At 43.2% G+C, this 19,463-nt stretch overlaps 1 protein-coding gene and 1 long non-coding RNA gene across 4 annotated transcripts in view, besides 3 other annotated features; one reads left to right on the forward strand and one right to left on the reverse strand.

The window, feature by feature from the left end:
- JAZF1 (JAZF zinc finger 1) overlaps positions 1-16,242 on the reverse strand; it is a 350,219-nt gene extending 333,977 nt beyond the window's left edge. For 2 of the 3 annotated variants that reach the window (NM_175061.4, XM_047420024.1), the window contains exon 1: positions 15,910-16,242. In NM_175061.4, coding sequence (NP_778231.2) covers positions 15,910-16,024 — 115 coding nt within the window. In that variant the 5' untranslated portion in view covers positions 16,025-16,242. Of the gene's footprint in view, positions 1-15,276; positions 15,338-15,909 lie in introns of those variants that run through there. The other variant, XM_047420026.1, reaches the window with a different exon arrangement.
- Positions 14,461-14,962: an enhancer, noted in NCBI's record as "H3K27ac hESC enhancer chr7:28218633-28219134 (GRCh37/hg19 assembly coordinates)". NCBI's record gives its function as "activates a minimal SCP1, AML or CMV promoter by ChIP-STARR-seq in naive H9 embryonic stem cells {active_cell/tissue: H9 hESC(naive)}" and the evidence as "EXISTENCE:reporter gene assay evidence [ECO:0000049][PMID:30033119]".
- Positions 14,963-15,462: an enhancer, noted in NCBI's record as "H3K27ac hESC enhancer chr7:28219135-28219634 (GRCh37/hg19 assembly coordinates)". NCBI's record gives its function as "activates a minimal SCP1, AML or CMV promoter by ChIP-STARR-seq in naive H9 embryonic stem cells {active_cell/tissue: H9 hESC(naive)}" and the evidence as "EXISTENCE:reporter gene assay evidence [ECO:0000049][PMID:30033119]".
- Positions 15,317-15,436: a silencer, noted in NCBI's record as "silent region_18044". NCBI's record gives its function as "represses an Ori minimal core promoter by ATAC-STARR-seq in GM12878 lymphoblastoid cells {active_cell/tissue: GM12878}" and the evidence as "EXISTENCE:reporter gene assay evidence [ECO:0000049][PMID:35858748]".
- Positions 15,904-19,463, forward strand: part of JAZF1-AS1 (JAZF1 antisense RNA 1) — a 60,921-nt gene continuing 57,361 nt past the window's right edge. Inside the window, exon 1 of the long non-coding RNA NR_034097.1 lies at positions 15,904-15,986. This is a non-coding gene — a long non-coding RNA (JAZF1 antisense RNA 1). The remainder of the gene's footprint in view (positions 15,987-19,463) is intronic.

Consider the following 19,463-nt stretch of genomic DNA (forward strand, 5'->3'; position numbering starts at 1 on the left):
TCTCTCCATAACATGCAGATGTGAAAGAAAAAAACTGTTCATGGAATTCATAAAATACTACCTTTCAGAATTAAAGAAATGGCACTGTGATGGTGAAATAGTATCTTCAGAGGTGGAATCTATACAATCTCCCTCAGTACTTCTTCTCAAATAAAATACATGTTACGTTACTGCTTTCAAGACCATTCTCCTCCCCTGCCCCCATTTCTGGCAGTCTCATAACCACTAAAATCTATGCAGATTTCACAAAGCTACTGAAGAAATTTTTTAAAAGAAATCTATGGGCTCTCAGTTTGAAAAATGTACCAAACATTATTTTTAATACAACACACTTGGCTCGGCATGTGGCTCACATCTGTAATCCCAGCACTTTGGGAGGCCTAGGCGGAAGGATCACTTTAGCCCAGGAGTTTGAGACCAGCCTGGGCAACACAGGGAGACCCCATCTCTACAAAAAATATAAAAATCAGTCAGGTGTGGTGGTGCGCACCTGTAGTCCCAGATACTCAGGAGGCTGAGGTGGGAGGATTGCTTGAGCCGGAGAGGCGGAGGCTGCAGTGAGCCAAGATGGTGCCACTGCACTCCAGCCTGGGTGACAGAGTGACACTCTGTATCAAAAGAAAAAAACAAAAACAAAACAAAAACAACAACCTTATTTTTCATTCCCACTTCCAAATAGCAAACACTAAATAAATTACATTAGTCAAGTGAGTTACATTAGCCAAAAATTTTTATTTCAATACAGAACACAAAAAGTAAATAGAGCTTTTAGAATTAAAAAACAAGCAAACTAGATTTAAAGAGAACTAGAGTGCCAGTTAGGGCTTCTCAGGTCCCTAGGGGCTTTGAAGGTGGTAATGGGGCTTTGAGCTATTTGAATGTTATAAAAAAGCAGAATGGAAACTAACCATAACGAAGTCACACAACATTCCACATCATCCTTTGGGGCTGGAATTAGGTTCCCTCCGTGTGGTAACATTGTCTGACACAAGGCTACACATGCAGGTCCCAGCTCCCTCTCCTATCCCACCCCCTCAAACACACCAGATACTCCAGTCTCAGGCCCTTGCAGCCTCTGCCTGGAACATTCTTCCCCTAGATGCCCCAATGGCTCATTCACTCCCCTTCATTGAGCTTCACTGAACTTCATTCAGACCCCTTCTGAAATGTTTCCCTCTCAAAGAGGCCGTCCCAGACCACTTTATCTCAAACAGGCCTTTCAACCTCTCTCTCCTGACTCGCTGTATTTTTCTTCACAAGGTTATGACTGTTTGAAATTAGCTCATGTATTGTGTTTTGTCTGCTTCTTCCATGAGCATGAGGCTTTAACTGTGTAGTTCACTACTATAACCCCAGCTCCTAGACAGTGCCTGCATAGTTGGCACTCAATAAATAGTTACTAAACGCATAAATTGGGTGTTTGAGATGTTGCTGCATGAAAAATAAAAAAAAAGCATTTAATTACTTATTAAATCAGCCTGTTTTGTTAGACAAAATCTTTCAAGAAATAGAACCCATGAGAAGGGAGAAGGAAAATTAACAAAAGAGGCCCTTGGTTACATATATATATATATAAAAAAAGTTGGAAACCACTTTCTTACTCAACTACTGCTGAGTCAAATAAGCCTGGACCAGCTGCTTAACTGTATCAGGGCAATATATTCTATAAGACTAAAAATGATTTCAAGTGATGTTGACAAAGATTGTTTAGGAATAAAGTATTTTAAATATTCTCTGCAATAAGTAAACAACTCATATATTGCTGTGCAAGCTTCTAAAACAAGGCCCAGCCTGGGGTTTTCCTGAGAAGCTTCCAGTGTTTAAGTCTGTAACATTTCAAGGACTATTATTAAAGAGATGCACAGCCCCTTAAAGAGGAAGGCATGGCATTTTGTGAGTCCTAGAGTCATGTTCTCGGATTTCTTCATAAAAGCCCTACAAATCTTTCGAATGATTCACCACAAACCTTTACAAACCACACATATAAAATCATCTCTTGTTTTTTCCATTGCTTGGTTGTTGCAACATGTAATAATTATGTTTTCTGCTTATATAGATTAACAAACCTCTCTAGACTCTTGAAATGCCTTCTTTCCGAAAGAGAAAACTATATTTATCAAACATGGAAGTATTTTTCTAATCACATGATCTAATGTCTCAAAAACTTAAATCTGGATAAACAATACTAAATTAAGGCTGCTATATTTTCAAACAGCAAGAATTTGTGTGTGGAATGTTTTAACAGCTCATGAATTCCTACGACCACTCAGTATGACTTACACAAACACAAACCAAAACTCTACCAGGGAAATCAAATTTCACCTAATATCTCCAAGGTAAAATATTTAACAAAAAGCAGAAATGTATATGGTTATTTTGATTGTTTTTCTCCCATCATATTATGGAAATATGAAGAGGACAGGAGACTTTGAGGAGTATGTGGCATAGGGAGCATCACCATGGATGCAAAAAAAAGGTAAATCCTATCAGTGTTATAACATGTGTGGGGGCTTCCTGATCTCCAGGCCCTTCATAGTCATGTTTCTACTTAATCCTCATAACAACACTGGGAGATAAATACTATTCCCATGCTCATTGCACAGAAGCTGAGGGCTACAGGAATTAAATAAGTTGGCCAAGGTCACGTAGCCTGTGGGATTCCAGGGTCATGCATAACCGCTTCACAGTAAAACCTCCACCCCAGCCTCCTGCAAAAGACAAGGAAGGGAAATGACCAGACAGCTTTCTTTTCTTCAGAATTCACCAGCTAGCACACTGAATATAGGTGGTGTCTCACAAAACACTGTGATATGTGCATACTATCACCCCATCTTAGAGAGGAAGAAAATGAGGCACAGGGAGGTTCTATAACTTGACAGGAGCAAAGCCAGGATCACAAGTGAGGCAAGCGAGCTCCAGGAACCTCACACTGAACCACAGCTTACTGCTATTCTCTCAACTTTTCTCGTCCAAGCACCTGCACTCACTCAAGACTTAAAATTTTCATCGACAGAATTAGCTAGTTGGCCTAGATCATCTGTAAGTTTCCTTTCCATTTTTAAATGATAAGATGCTCAATTCACCTGCAAAAGGGTTTTTGCCACAATAAAAACACTCTGGAGAGAGTGTTTCAGTGGTCCTGCTTTTTTTCCCAGGGGAAGGAAATGGTACTGATAATAATCTTAATACACTTTTAGGATTAAGGCTTATCATTTTAGAATTTGGTATAAAAGAAAAAGTTTTAATTACAATGTTTTCATGTTAAAAAATAGTTAACTGCTTCATAAAGAACAATGGAAATTTTGAATAAAAACCACTATAAGCTACTATTCTTTTCATTTTCTGTAGTTCAGATAGCTTCTTTGCAGGAAGCAATGGTATACAAGGTTTACTTTGCACCCCGCCATTCATACGTGCTTCATTAAAGCACATGGCCTGTCATCAATGGCTCTTATTAAACACAGTGATTGGGTGGAGTGGAGCAGTTGTCTTGCACAATGTTTTTAAACCCATCTGTATTAGTTACCAGCATTTAAAGATGAGTTTCGGCCGGGCGCAGTGGCTCATGCCTGTAATCCCAGCACTTTGGGAGGCCGAGGCGGGTGGATCATGAGGTCAGGAGATCGAGACCATCCTGGCTAACATGGTGAAACTCCGTCTCCACTAAAAATACAAAAAATTAGCCGGGCGTGGCAGCAGGCGCCTGTAGTCCCAGCTACTCGGGAGGCTGAGACAGGAGAATGGTGTGAACCCAGGAGGTGGAGTTTGCAGTGAGCTGCGACGCGCCATTGCACCCCAGCCTGGGTGACAGAGCGAGACTCCGTCTCAAAAAAAAAAAAAAAAAAAAAAAGATGAGTTTCAAGTAAAAATCTTAATTCCTAGCTTCTCTCTCTCAAATAATAATAATAAATAAAAGCATCTGCCAACAAAGGGCCTGTACTCCAACATGGCAACACTGGGTATCGGCTGCCTTTTTAAGCAAAGCAAAGACTCTTCAGTTTGCCAGTCTCTGCCACGCCCCACTGCATTGAACTTGGTTACTTCCCTCATATGCTGTGTCCTGAGGCATGTGAGTTTGAGACTCTTTCACCACCACAGGTGCCCTGGTTTGAGCATTTGTACTCTAACTACATAGCTGAGACAGTAACACAGCATCAAACTTGCTGTATATTAAAGGCCTGCCTCCAGTAAAACTAAAAACTACACCCACAGAACTGAAACCCAAAATGGACACACACCTTTAAAAGTTTGATTCCTTTTTGAAACAACACAATCCTCCCAATGCTCGATATTTCATTAGTGTAACCCAATGAGTTCCCAACCTTGGCAACACATTAGAATAAACTCTGAAGGGCTAAGAACACATAGGCTCTGACTCAGAACCCGGGAAACCTTTTCTCCCCCAGCTTCACCCAAGTGATTGTGAATGGCAACCCATGTGTTAAAGTACTGGTGTAAACACTGACATACACAGTGTGACTTATAAATCAATAAGGCTGATTTTCCACAAGCCACAGATGAGAATCATTCTCATTACAAGTTATGTCAGATATACTACACTGAAGGTGCCATGATAGTTCCAGGGATTGACAAAAGACGATTCCTTTATTCTAACATCTGAAGTGAAGTGCATGTATAACTTAACGTTATACGTTAATCTCTTTATTTTTCTGTGTGATGTTTGCATATTTTAACAGCAAATATTTTGGTGTGGGCCCCTGAAAGTGCTGAAGTGGAGCCAATATATAAAAGGGAGTTTCCAATCTGGGCAGAATATTGAGACACATTAGTTTAAATCACACATCATCAACCACTTTGAGTTGATGCCAAACTCCAGATGTCTAGTGTCAGAAAGATCTTATTAAAAGATGTACTTGGCATCTCTCTAAAATCTAAACTATCTCTAAGTTACAGGAGGGCTGCAAAACACCTGTGTGACACTTGCTATCAGTCCTGAAGATGAGTCATACTCCACAGTCTACCAGCCGGTGAGATTCCCAAGTAAACTGAGATGAGCTCAATGAGGACAAGAGAGGCCTAGAAAAAGTTAACTGCAAACTGTTGAGGCCAAGCTTTCCATAAGAAGTACTTAGCTTGGGTTTACAAAGAAACTTCAAAAACCCCATTTCCTTCATGTGATGTTTGATACCTGAGGAAGCCTGGGCATAATTTCTGCTTATTTATGCCTATTACCATGGTGTTCAATTTACTTAACAGAAAACTGTACAAGTATGCCTCTACAGATTCCCCTGCTTTTGCCATTACTTTCATAATTATGCCATATATGGAAAATCAGGCAGCTAAATTAGCATTCGAGAGGCTCTCGCTAAATGAATTAGGTAAGAAAACGAGTGCTTCAATTTTAAGCCCAGATGTGCTCCTGCAGAAGCGATTTAAGGTCTGGTGCTGGAGTGACAGGACTTGATGTGTGCCTTCTCTGTGGATGGCACCAGGGAAGCATCCAGCAGTGAGGGCTCTACACATAGGCCACAAGCACTGAGGGTTTTCAGTGCTTAACTCACAGTGTTTACAGTTGGGCCCCATATGTACCACTAGTCAAAAAAAAAATCTTTAAAATAAAGTACATGAGCTGAGTACTGGGCCGTGTGCATGCAATCCCAGCTACCAGAAGGCTGAGGCAGGAGGATCGCTGGAGCCCAAAAGTTCAAGATCAGCCTGGGCAACATACCAAGACCCTGTCTGAAAAATAATAATAAAATAAAGTACCTGAACATAATTACATGATTTTAATTTTGGAAATCTGAAGTAAAAGAGAAGTTGATATGTGTGTGTGTGTGTGTGTGTGTGTGTGTGTGTGTGTGTGTGTGTGTGTGTGTGTGTATGTGTGTATGTGTGTGTATGTGTAGAGGGTTAGGTATTGTGTTTGTCAGGAGAACCTATCCCTAAATGATCATCAGCGAGAGAGAGAAAACCAGTTAGCGTCTTTGGACAATTCAGTAATTACAACCATTTTAGAACTGCCAAATTATTGTTTTCATTGTTGTTACTGTGATGGGATGCTCATGCACCCTCCTGTCCTACCTAAGTGTTTTCTTCAGAAGCCTTGACACATTCAGAAACATTTCTACCTCAACCAGACAACCGGCATCAAAATATGTCATCAACCATCCATACTGCTCCCATCGACACTGCTCTTGGTGGAAATCCAGCCTTTCTGTATTTATTTCTCCAAGACTTTCAGGTGCGGAAGAGCCTTCAATGAAAATGCAAACATCTTGTAAAAGATCACAACTTAGGCTGTAAAGAGCAAGCACTGAGTATATGGGCACACCTGGCAGCAAAGCCGGCCCTGGCTACCCCGGGCATTTTCCTGGCTGTTCTTTGCTCTGTGTCCTGGCTTCCTCCTGCGTCGCATGGGACTAACACTGCATAATGCATATTAAAGCAACTAGCCAGTAGGTACTGTGAAAGGAAAATCAATCTCGGGATCCCCCCAAATAATAAATAATAGTATTACTATCTCATATAAATAAGACTGTAAGAGCTGCCCAAGTTTGAAAAGCTCAAGTTAGTGAGATCAGGAGGATTCAAAATCCAATTCTGTATAGCTTCACAGTCCATGCTTCTCACCACCCAGGCCTCTGCCTCCTGTGTACCAAATACCCCTGGCAATTTAACAAGGAAAATCAATTTCCTTTTTAAATCAGCTTTAAAAAGAGTCTCTTTCAGATTCCCTTAATATAAACCATACTGGACTAATTGCATAATGGATATTTGTGTGAATGCCATAAACACATAAACATATAAATATACAGCCCTCATTGATGCAAACCTACAGAAATTAATTTCAAAGATGTTTTTCACTGTCCAAAGTTACCTTTGTAATTTATTTTTTTCACAGCCCAAAGTACTTCTCAATTTTTATTTTCATACCATTTCTGAAAACACGTCTTGGGGACGAGGATAGGATGATGACAAGACCCTGAGTTTCTGGGGGAGGAAACAGTGCACAGGAGGTGACCACACAGTTCAGAGCACACCCCCGCTGGTGCAGCTGTGGGCAGGGGCTACAGGACAGAGAGGGGAAGACCCATTAAAATAATGATATTTATTGAGGTAAAAGAGGCTTTCTGTCCTGAAGAAAAATATTTCTGTTTTATACCAATATAAACAAACACTCTAGTTCATATTTCACTAAGTGTGTTATTTAACTAATATGGTAGCATATTTAACTCCAAAGCGGAAGGCAGTACTTACAGGATGGGGGTAATGTCTACTTCACAGGCTTGCTGTGAGGGCCAATGAAATACTATACAAAAATTATTTAGCACTGTCTGTGGCACATATAGTAATGATTCCCGAATTGGGAGCTCAAGGAATAGACCCAAGTTTTGTGGGCCTGCAGATTCAGACTTTTCTTATGAAAAAAAATTGAATGTTATAAAATGTTTACAAAAGTGATTATCTATTGAGATTAAGAAATCACAACAAATCACAAAATTTTACAAGCCGCAATACCAAAACATCCTAAAATCAGAATCCAGGAAAAGAACCCAGTATGTGTATTAATTAACTTCCTGACACACTGCTATAAATACTTCTTTTGGGCTGTATACTCTGATGAATCCTCATATCACAATGACTTATATTCATATCATTTTCCACAGGGCAGAAAGATGAATCAATCTCCCCTCAAGCATGGGTGATCAAAATTTATTCCTAATTATTGACAATTCAGAAAAGTTACTTTTAGCCTTATAGTTCTTTATTGGCAATGACATATACATTTTTAGGATTGTTGTCAAACCTGTAATCACATCTCTTAATTTTCTTTCACATATGAGCCATAAAAATCCAGGACATTTCAAGTTTTCTCGTGCAATGACTAACTTTAAATATTCTTTTTATCAATGATACTCATTAACCAGTTTGTTGTCAGTATTTTTGGTATCAGGCATATTCATGTCAAATGAACAAGAATCTTAAACACAGAATTCCCATTAAAAATGGTGCATTTCTAATAGTATATTTGTATTATTGAGTATATTCCTAAAAGAAGAGAATTTTCATACTGACTACACTTAGATAAGAACTGAATCCTCCACGTAGAATTTTACACATCTAACAAGTGAAAGAATTCTCCACAGACCTGGCTCCACGCACCATAAACCATCCCACAGCAGATGTCATGGTACCCGTTAACACTGCAATTCTCTCTCTGACCCTCCCCTTTGTGTAAGGACCCCAGGTAAGCTGGCACGGTGGGTGGCGATCCTATGAAGCAACTTCTACACTAGGATGGCTAGGGATAACTTGACACAGAGATGACTGTGAACTGCATAAATACATCCCACTAAACCCAAACAAAATGTGGACCCAATTCGACTTCCCCCTAGCTATATCTCAAAAGCACTTTCAAGTCCAATGTCATCAAACCCAAACAGAAATGTGACAGCAGGGAAGTCAGAATGAGAAAGAAAAACATTAAAGGATTGCTTAAAATCTTCTTCCAATTTTACCAGTTATGATCCCATGAAGGCCCAGCTACGTATACTGCTAGGGCTCCTCCAGGGCCCTGGAAAGTGCTGGGTGGGCCCTGGCAATATATTCAAAAACGGCAAGGAATGCGTTGTACAAGTCAGGGGCCCTGGGGCTGGAGCTTCATTAGCTTCACAATAAATCTGCCTCTGTGGTCCCTATTATTATTCATTATTTATCTCAGTCTGTACATGTCTGGTCTCTCCAAATAAATTTCAAATCCTTAGAGATAGGAAGTACTGTCTTAAGCACTAACATAGGAAATACTCAAAAATGTGTGGCTGTCCTCACTATCCATGGTGATCTTGAAAGAGAGGGAAAAAATGTATAATACAAATGTATACATATACACACATAAATATATACACACATATGGATATACGTACACACATATATGTGGTATGTGTATTAGACATATACATGTATTATTTATATATGTGTTAGATATCCTACATGCCTTTGTGCCTAAAATATATATTTATTTCTATATATCAATTATATCTATAATACCAAAGAAATGGTGAATTTTTCAGTGTTATTAACCTGGCATCCAGATCATGTCCCTTCAAGGAGGTCTATCTCAGGAGAAAGTCACCATTGTAGTCTGGCAGACAATGAACAGTGCTTCCTTGGGAGGCCAGTGGGTGAGCTGGGCAAGGGACAATGGCCGTCAGGGGACTATCAGTGCTCTCTGGTGCTGGGCAGACAGTCTATTGTTAGTGACCCAAGAAGAGTCCCTCTGACTCCTGCCAAAGTTGACAGCAATTGGAAAGACTTCACCCTTAAAGAGGATATCCACTAATCTGGTCCCTGCTTGCAGCTAGCTTTAAAAAAAAAAAAAAAAAAAAAAAAAAGTAGGTGAAAACTACTGCAACATTCCAGTGCTTACAGCGAGGGGAAAATACAATTTTCTTTACAGCAATTAAATATATTAAATGGAAGGCACTTTTAAAAAATACACACATAATAAATTTCTGACATCTATGGTTTCCTATCTTCAGATTCTAAATAAATAACATTTTTCAACTTAATACGTTAGCCAGGTCAACATGGAATAAATCTATTACCTCACCATGAAACAAAATGAGTATCTACAATCCAGCAAGTATTTCTTTGTACACAGGACACGTCTGTACTGTCAAGATCTGAAGGCGGGGGTAAGAATGGGGTAGAGAAATATAAGGGAATGTGGGGTATGTATGATTGTTGCCCTAGAAGCTAAAACTAGAAAAGGAGGATTTTTAAGGAATTCAGAAACATTGTCTCCTGTCTCTCAGACTCAGTCTACAACACCAGGCCTCTGGCTTCCAAACAGTCCCAGGGAAGCCCCTCATCAAGTGTCACCAGCCTGTGCCAGCCTTAAGGTATCCTCACTGTCACCTACGGGAAGAATTGGGTTTTCTCAAAACAGCTGTCAGTTTGTATTTCTAGAACTGTCAACGTAGGAGATATCTCCGAAATATATGAACTCTAAAGGAAACCATTTTCTGAAGAATATGTGGGTTTTTGTCAACCCAGTCAGTTACAGGCAGAGTTCTGGTGTCTGTACATTTCGGTCACATGTCAGAAAATGTGTATACTAAATGAAAACAATTAGAAGCTTGTGAAACTTATGAGACAGGATGTTCAACAGTGATGTTTTATAAAGGATGATCTGACTGTTTACAGGTGAGAAGAGGCTAATGGAAAAACCAGTGAAAACAGAGTTTTGGAGACTGCCGTAAAGTTTCAGATTTCGGGTTCCCTGATCCTGCCTATGGGGTGTGTGGGTGTGTGTGTGTGTGTGTGTGTGTGTGTATGCACATGTATTTAAAACTCCTAGCATTACACCTGGGGGCTTCTCGGGAACCCTGGGAGTAACAGGGAGATCTTGCCGCCAAGCCACAGGGCACAGGCAGAGAGCAGGGCAGGCAGCAACAAGCCTTTCATTCATTCATTTATTAATTCAGTCATTCCTTCTCCCCACAGGAAGTGTCCTCAATGGAATGCACCCACAGGCCCAAGGCACAGTGCCTCTTTCTAGTCCTGGATTTTTTCAAATAAATTCAGGCCACAAGGAAAGGCCATGTTGGAAGCCGCTGGCTTTGACACCACTTTCCCAGTCCACTGTGGCAAATGCCTCTGCCAGGGTGTAAAGTGCCTCTGGCCACACAAAAGAGAACGTGGCCAGAGGCTGCAACACCAGCACTAGACTGTTGAGGAGTCTCCTATTTTCCATTCTCAGTCCTTCCCAGGAAGAGCCTGATGATGTCATAGTTATAAAATGCCCAAAACAGCACCACTAATAGGTGGATACAACCCATGTTAATCTCGAAGGTAGACTCTGACAGTAGGATTACATATTTATTTAGCAGATACACAAATGGCAAGAAACTAGATGATGTAGACAACTTATTATTGTAGATAAACACTTCACATATATTATCTCACTTAATCCTCACTAACCACTCCGTGAGATGGATGCTGCTACTATCCTCATTTTACAGAGGAGGCATAGTACGGTTAATTTGCCCCTGGTCATAAGGGGGACAAGTGGCAGACATGTGTGTTCAACTCCAAGCAGGCTGGATTCGCTATGCCACTGCTCAGATGACCTTCATCTCGAGTTCAGTTACTTTCTAAAGGAGGAAACAGAGTCAATCGTGTGAGGGGAGGTGAGGAGGGGACTGTCACGTTCTTCACCTAATTGGCAACTGGCATAGGCTTAGCTTTGCATACCTGTCTGGAATTCAAATCTCAAATCATACACATCAGCCACGAAAGCTCAGGCAATTATAAACTGTACCTTAGTTTGCTCACCTAAAAGTGGGAGTAATAAGGACCTATGACATATTGCACAGCTTATCTATTTAGTACACTGTGATGCTCCTTTGAGAAGATAATGCAAATATTTACTAAATCATCTTAGGAGCTAAATTCTACAGTTTTGATAGTAAGTGCCCTGATTTTTTTTTACAGAAACTTTGACCTTTATTAATTAGACGGTTTATAAATCTATACTATGAAATGAAGCACTGTAGGTTTATTACCTGGGTTTTGGAGATGAGGAAACTAACAAGTAGAGACTCACAACAAGAAACCTGTTGATATTCGGGGTCAGGAACCAAGTCATAGCTAATGCAAGCCATTCTTGGTCAATGAGACTCTGCCCCTTAACTGGGCCCTTGCAGGGAAATGTTTCAATAGCAAAGCTGAGGATCCTAACATCTGAGGAAAGTTCTAAATGACCTGCTAGTCTGGTACGATCACATGAATAACTGAATTGGGTCAGATTCCTGTGTTTCTATTCAAGTGCTGCAGGCCTGCCTTGGGGCCTGTGTACTGCCTGCGCCCAGAATGTCCTCATGACTAACTCTCACACCTCCTTCGAGGTTTTGTCTCCCATATCAGCCTCTCAGCAAGGCCCACCCTGACCAATCTATTTAAAATTCTCATACTTTCTCCTCCCAACCCTCCGGACCCTGATCTAGTTTTTCTCTTTTCTGTATCACTAACCACCTCCCAACATACTGTGTATCACATACCTCAATTGTTTATTGTCTGGCCCCCTATCCTAGAATATAAACTTCCTAAAGAGTGATATTTTCATTTTGTTAACCAAAAAATATCAAGTGCTCATAACTTTGCCTGGCATAAACTAGGGACTCAATATATATTATTACATAAATAAATTCAAAATGCAGAGGTACTTTTAAAAATGCACCAAATAATCAAATAAGAATGATTCAACAGTTGTGTTTCTCAGACAAAAAGCCATACGATTTCATAGCACTGGGATGCAGGGTTGTAGCGGCATTTCATGAGCCTGGGACATGACCTTCAGTGCTAAATTTAGTGCTCCTGGTGTTTCTAAGATTCCCAGTTACCAGTTTAACTTCATCTATCTAGGATGTTCATACCAAGAATGTTTCTACAAACTCAATTATCTACTCAAAATAAGAAGCAAGCAAACCTGGACCTGCTTTTCCCATCTCCATGTAACAGACTCAGACCTATGAATGAATTGATAACAAAATTGATGGAAAAGCACTTCACAGTTGCAGGGCTACGGGATTTCTCGGCAATTTAAATTTAAGTGGGGATGGGGGAGAGTTTTAGCTAGGATATTCAGTGTATACACTGAGACAGGTACTCCAGTACTGAACCAGCAGTGAAATGCAAGAAAGAAAACAGGAACACCGGTACAGCACTCTTCCAGGAGAGAAAAGAGCTAAAAAAGTGGGTGGTGAAAATCACACTTCCCTTGGTTCTAAAGCCCCCAAATCCTTGTTCATTATGGGGAGAGGAAAACAGTTAAAAACAAAAGTTAAGCATACACATATAAGATAACAGAGAGTTATTCTCAACTTAATGCACTTAATTAATCCAAACTAAACATAATACTTTTATAATGAAAAACACAGGCCTTGAAAAATCTGCCAAGCAAGAAACACACCATATTCCCATAAATATTCATTTTATCGCTGTTTAAGGGTTTTTACTAGTGGCTAAAGGTAATAACCCAGATAGGCCCCCAAAATGGAATGCTCACCTAAGCATATCTCTAATACTCACGGTTGCTAAATAACAAGACTGTTGAACAAATTAAAAGCAAAATAACACACCTCTTATTCTTTTCATGAATCTTTTTAATGTAACCACTCACCAACAGACATGAAATCAGTAAGTCAATCATTAACGGTCTCCAAATACTTATAGATTGAATCAAAAACGATAAATACCACATAACAATACCTGTCTAGAACTTTGACTAAATGCTTTATATTTTCACCCATGTCTTTTCATCAGAAGTGTATTTATATGACACTATCTACTAATTGGGATATTTTTATTCTTCTTAAGATCAGTTCTTCTTTCTGCATATAGGGCTGCCTTTGATAGTAAAGGGCCTCTCCCCAGCAGAAGTGTATAATAGTTTGAGCCTCTTCATCCTGGGAATTGCAAGTGTTTGTTCATTTTAACATTTGCTTTTCATAAAGTTTGCTGGTTCAAACTGTTTTCAACTGTGTTAGCCCTGCAACACAGTTCACCTAGGTCACTGCTATTGCTGTAAACTTAATTTTTCCACATTTTCACTATTAAAAGGACAACACTAGCCTTCTGGGAATGAGGTAGCATTACTTCAAAGCTGAGTTTTAGAAAACGTATCAAACTCTTAACCTTCTTTAAAAATGTGTGCAAAATATTAAGACAATTTCTACACTTAAAAAAAAAACCTCATGATTCACCAAGTTTTAAACCATCTCAAACTAAATCCTCAAGAAGGATAACTGTCTTTAACACATTTTAATAAATATAATTTATACTGTCTTTTAACCAGCTTGTCTAAGTAGGTAGGCAATGGGGTAAAATTATTACTCAGCTTATATAAATTATAGTTTATTCTGAAATAACTGTTAGCGAGAATGGATGGGATATGCAATGACAGCCTTCTGTAAGTCAAGAGAAATTATTTATTTATATTACTTATATCATACATATTAATGTATAGCATTATCTATATTTATTTTTTACTTATTATTGGGAGTAAGGGGAAGAACTTGAACTAGTAACATTTCTACCAGAACTTCACAGTACCGGTGTTTTCGCTTTATTTTAAACTAGCCATCATGAAAAATCTGATTTAATACTTTCAAGCACTTTCAGTTATGACTATTCAATCATGATATGAATCAGCAAATTGGTTGCTCCATTAAACTGCTTTTAAGACTACCAAAACTTGCCCAGCTCTTCTGTCATACCTTTAGCAGAGGAAATGGAAGAAGCTATTACAAGGACGCCTGAAAACTTGAAAAGTTTCAAAACCTGGACAATTACTCAACAGCATTTTCCTCTGAAAGACATTTTGTAGACGTTTCCCATGATTATCTCCTATTCCGGATGGCCCATCAAATCACATTCTAAACAGGCATTCAACACTTATTAAGCAGCCACTGTGTGCAGAGACAGCACTATACTAAGCAAAGGAGCATAGGGTTCTGCCTCATTTTATTCCTGCATAAATACACAGCAGTCGTGATTTATTCTCTCAACTTTGTAGAAACGTGAGCTGCATCCACATGGCTGAATCCATGGCATTCATTTGGACTTCCTGGGGGCAATTTACAGGTTCTCTGGATTAGACAGCCCCATTGGGACATCGCTCGGACCCTTCACCTTCTAGCCCACGCAGGACAACTCGCTGGCGTCGGTCACACCTTCCGCAGGTGGTTGGACCGCCTAAGCCAGATGCACCCGGCCCACCTCCCTTAGCAGGGGTTCCGAATAGAAGTGTGAAAATGTGTGCAATGACTTCTGCAAATCAGAGGACTTGTTGAAAGGTCCAGGGGTCCAGGCGTGAAGGGAAAGCAGCCACCCTGCGGGGCGCCCCCTCCCCGGCGTCTCCCGGGCCCGGGGCGCTGCGCAGGCCGCCGCCGATCCCAGGGCGCAGCCAGCGCACCTCGGGCCTAGCACCATTAGAAAGGCAAATCGCAGAGCCGGGGTGCATTTAAATGCCCGGCCATGGGCCCTGGGGGTGTCTCTCCAGCGGGCGCCGCCGCAGGGGCCTCCAGGGCGCGTCGACCCCGGGGCGCTGGGCGCGGCCCGCGGGCGCACCCAAGACCTCAGCCCGCAGCGCCCGGGCGTCCGCGCCAGGCCGGGGCAGGGGAGGGCACCCAGAGCCCCCGGGCCCGCGTCCCCGGCCCCGCCCGGGCCCCTCGGCCGCCTCCCAGGGAGAGGGCAAGCTCCCCGGCCCCCGCCCGCGGCCGCCGGCCCCGGCCCCCTCCCGACGCACCACACCTAGCAACCGGCGCTGACAGGACGCAGTGGCGGCGGCGGCGGCGGGAGGAGGAAGCGGAATGGCTGCCGCGGTGGAGCCACCCCCGCCCCCCCGCTCCACCTCCCCGCGGCTGCAGCCGCCGCCGAGCCCTGACAGCTCGAGCCGGGGCGGAAGCGCCCGGCGGCGTGCAGCGCCCGCCCCCCGCTGCCCTCAGCGCCTCGGGCTACTCCGACCACCCGGGCCAACTAACTCCGCGACCCTGCCCAGCGCCCAGCTCCCGCCGCCCGCCGCGCCCTCCGCCCCGCGCCCCGCGCGCCGGCACTCGGCCCCGCCGCCGCAACCCCGCCGCCCCGCCGCGGCGCTCCCCGCTCCCACCACTTCGCAGCCCGCGTGCACGCCCCTGAGTCCCCCAGCCGCCCGCCCGCCCGCCCGCGGCACCTCGGGGCGCCCGCCCCCTCCCCCACCCGAGCCCGCTCCCCGCCCCCCGGCACCTCGCGCCCCCGCATCCCGCCACCCCCACCTCGGGGCTCGCACGCGCCCTCCCCGCCCTGCCGCCTCCCTCCCCGCCGGCCACCCCTGGCCATTCCGGGGCTCCCCGCCCGGGCAGGAGTTTCCGCGCGCCTGGCACCCCCGCCCACCCCCGGGCCATTTACCGATGTGGTTGTCCTCGATGTGCTCGATGAGGTCGGCCAGGGTGGGGAAGTGGAGTCCGCAGCCCCCGAATCGGCAGGTATTGGAGAAGAAGGAGGCGGCGGCGATGCCTGTCATGGTGCTACATCGAGAGCCCCCCTGGTGTCGGCTCTGCGAGCGCCGGGCGGGCGAGGGAGGGAGGGAGGCCGGGTGGGGTGAGGAGAGGAGGGGCTGGGGGAGGGGGAGAGAGGCGGGGTGAGGGGAGCGGCGAGGACGGGACGGAGGGAGAGGGGGCGAGAGAGATGGAAGGAGAGCGAGGAGCCACCGGGAGGCAGAGGGGAGGCGGCGGCTGCGGCGGCGGCGTCGGGAGCGGCGGGGGGAGGGCGGGGGCGGGGGCGGGGGGGGAAGGCCGCCGCAGCTGGGAGGAGGGACCAGGGCGCGCGGCTACAGCTGTGCGGCCCCAACCTCAGCGCGCGGACCCAGGCCTCACCTGCGAGCCCTGCCACCAACTTTATCTCGCTAGGCCTGCCCTTTACGGCTTGCCATCCGTGCCATCTGTTTGGAGCCTCCTTGGTTATGTATATGACGTTCTTAATACACCCACATCGATTAATTACACCTACCTCCCTGCGAGGAGAACTCAGGGAGTTACCCTGGTCCCTCTCAGGGACATTTTTTTGTACTCAGCCACCTGTCTAGGTGTGACACATTCACAGGGGACCCAGGAAAGGTAATTGTGTGCACCTTCTTCTTTAAACCTTCTTTAGAAAAAGTACACATTCTCCGGAGGTTTGTACTAACTAATTGATTTTAATGAAGCTTTCCCTCTAGGCCAGAAAAAAATCTTAGCTTTATTTAAATTTCAAAATAGAGTGCTTGGTTGTCAAGTGCATTTGCCTGTGTTTTACATATGTGCCACGTTTTTTATACTCCCTGCTCCTTCTAGGAAAACAAAAACTAAAATAATTTCATCACCCGAAATTACAGCACCCTACTGCACCCACTCCACCATCTCAGGTCTGGTAATTAACCCATCCTCGTTTCAGCCACTGCAGAAAGGACAGTGCATTGGTTAAGGCTAGAAGGAGCGGAAACAACGGCAAGGGACATAGTGACTCTTCATTTAAAAAGGAAGCGATTTCATCCTGTGAGCATTTAAAGCATAATGTTGACCAGGTAACCACTTAAGGTGAATTTAGTAGCTTCCCTGAAAACCAGCATTTTGCTGAGAATCAATTACTTTCTTGTCCCCACCCCCTCCTCCAGTTGCAGTCATATTTCTTCTGTAAAGTGTGTATTTTCCAGTAGCACTTTTCCAGGTGTCTAAGAAATATTACACATTATCAGCAGTTTATGACCCAACAGTACATTTTTTTTATTAATATTAATATATGCATACTGAATTTAGCATTTTTCCTTAGGGCAAATTTCACTTACCCTCTGGTGCAGATGCATGGAGAAATAGTATTCCTCCCTCCATAAACTCTATGCATCTCTGTCTAGTGTTATTTCTAATAATGGGATTGTTTGCTTTTCATGTAAGTGCTTAGAGTAAAGGCACATGTAATATGTCTGTTGCTACAGGAAGTTTTATGATCTGACCATCACCGGTGGCATTTTCTCTTCTCATCTCTTCTGTCTTGCAGCTCACAAGGTGACAAACTTGCTGAGATGAGATTCGGCTTGGGTGGGGCTGGGGCAGCTGTGTCTTGAAGTTCAGTTTGGTGCCAAGAATGGTTTCATGGGCCCAATGAGGGTGGGGGCAGGGCCCTGGTGGGCCTGATAATGAGCCAGGGACCGAGTTGGCAGGGGACTGAGGCCAAGGCCAGACAAGGGTCTAAAGAGCAGGAGTTAGAATTCTAGATCTTGAATTAGAATTTTGGCAGCTGTGCAGTACATTCAGCTGCCCAATCTGGGAAGGCCTTCAGCTGAGAGCAGGCAGAATATCTGGCAGGCACACACCACACCAAATGACATGGAAATGCAATACAAAACTTCAGCCAAAAATGATGCCAAAACAGCCACCCTTAGAGATGAATGTTAGGCACCCCCACTATGCAGCATCTGGGAGCCCCAAAAGCTTTGAAGAAGTAGCAGTTCTGTCCTCCAGAGGAAAAATTGTCTACGTGGAGTTATTAACTCCCAAGAGTGTGGAGAGGTGGTTCAGGCAAGAGAGTTCCGAGATGGGAAGTGCCAGAAATGTGCAGGTGAAAGATGAAGGAAGTAAGGGGCCTGGGTTTCACTAATGCATGGCTTTCTACTACCTCCTGTCAGTTTCACTATTCCTAAAATAAAACCTTGCTAGACCAAATTGAAAAAAATAGATTTTTTAAAAAATGAAGTGAGCTAAAATAACTTCCAAAGTAAATCAAGATATTGGTTTTTAAGACAAAATTATTTTCTCTACCTTGGATAATTATTACTGTTTTGTAAGGAATCAGTTCATTTTGCCTGAAAATAATCCACCCTACTACTTCTTCATATGTGACTGAAGCTTTGTTTATGTGATGTTCTGCTCATACTACTTTTTAAAAATCTGTACACTCTAGGCATTTCCGGTCTTTATATAAGATACATGATTGTGATCTCTTAGACCTGGAAGATACTCTGGCTGTCAGAACCACTGGTTTTGGAGATGTGGTAAACTGAGGCCGGGGCATCAAGCAAGTTCTCCCAGGTGCACACAGACAGTTTTTTTCTCTGTACTCATGGTGCATTTAGAAGGCATTGATAGACAATAGAAGGACAAATTATATATAGATAGTAACCACAGGCAAAGTTTTTTAAAAATTGCTAATAGCATGCTTACCTTTCTGTACTTATATTTTTAAAATGTTTGTTTCCAGGATATCCCTTTAGATAAAGTCAACATCTAAGCTACAAAAATATATAAAACAAACAATTCAACTTATTACATCCGAGAGAGAAGGTGATGACTGATATACCTCTGTACTGGCAAAAAACATCTGTCTGATTTGGAAAGTAAAAATATTTGAAAGGAGAGGGAAAGTGAGGGAACTGAGAAGTCAGAATGATATGACAGTGGCTGTAGACAAGAAGCATTCTCTGGGTTTAAGAGCCTTTTCTTGAAAACCATCTGTCTCTCCCCAGAGCCCAGTGCCTCCCAATGTATAGGCACAAAGTATGGATGTGCAGTGGCCCCATAATATGGTACTTAGCATTACAAATGGTTTGAGATCGCATAACAGTCTCCCCAAATCCAGCATGTCCAGTGCCCTCGAGATGGGGCAGCTGCCGGAAGGTGTGAATCCACTGGTCTAATGGAGCCAACTGAAGACACTGAGGATCCTGCTTCATACAGCTGTCTGTCCTCCACATACAGGAATTGGTTTATTTTGGCATACACTGATAATCAAAACCGTGCACTTCCTGTGTCCTGTGTGGACATCTGTTAATGATGCAAGAGGATCTATATGAACATTAGATTCTATCTTGAATCTAACTCTATACTGCCTTCAACTGTAGCTTTCTCTGGCTTTTTAGATTGTTTTCCAGGTCCCTCTTGAGGTGCTTTTCAGGTTTACTAGATATTTCTTCTATTGTCACCACTGTGTCG

The sequence above is a fragment of the Homo sapiens genome, chromosome 7 (assembly GCF_000001405.40).
Source record: "Homo sapiens chromosome 7, GRCh38.p14 Primary Assembly".
NCBI lineage: Eukaryota > Metazoa > Chordata > Mammalia > Primates > Hominidae > Homo > Homo sapiens.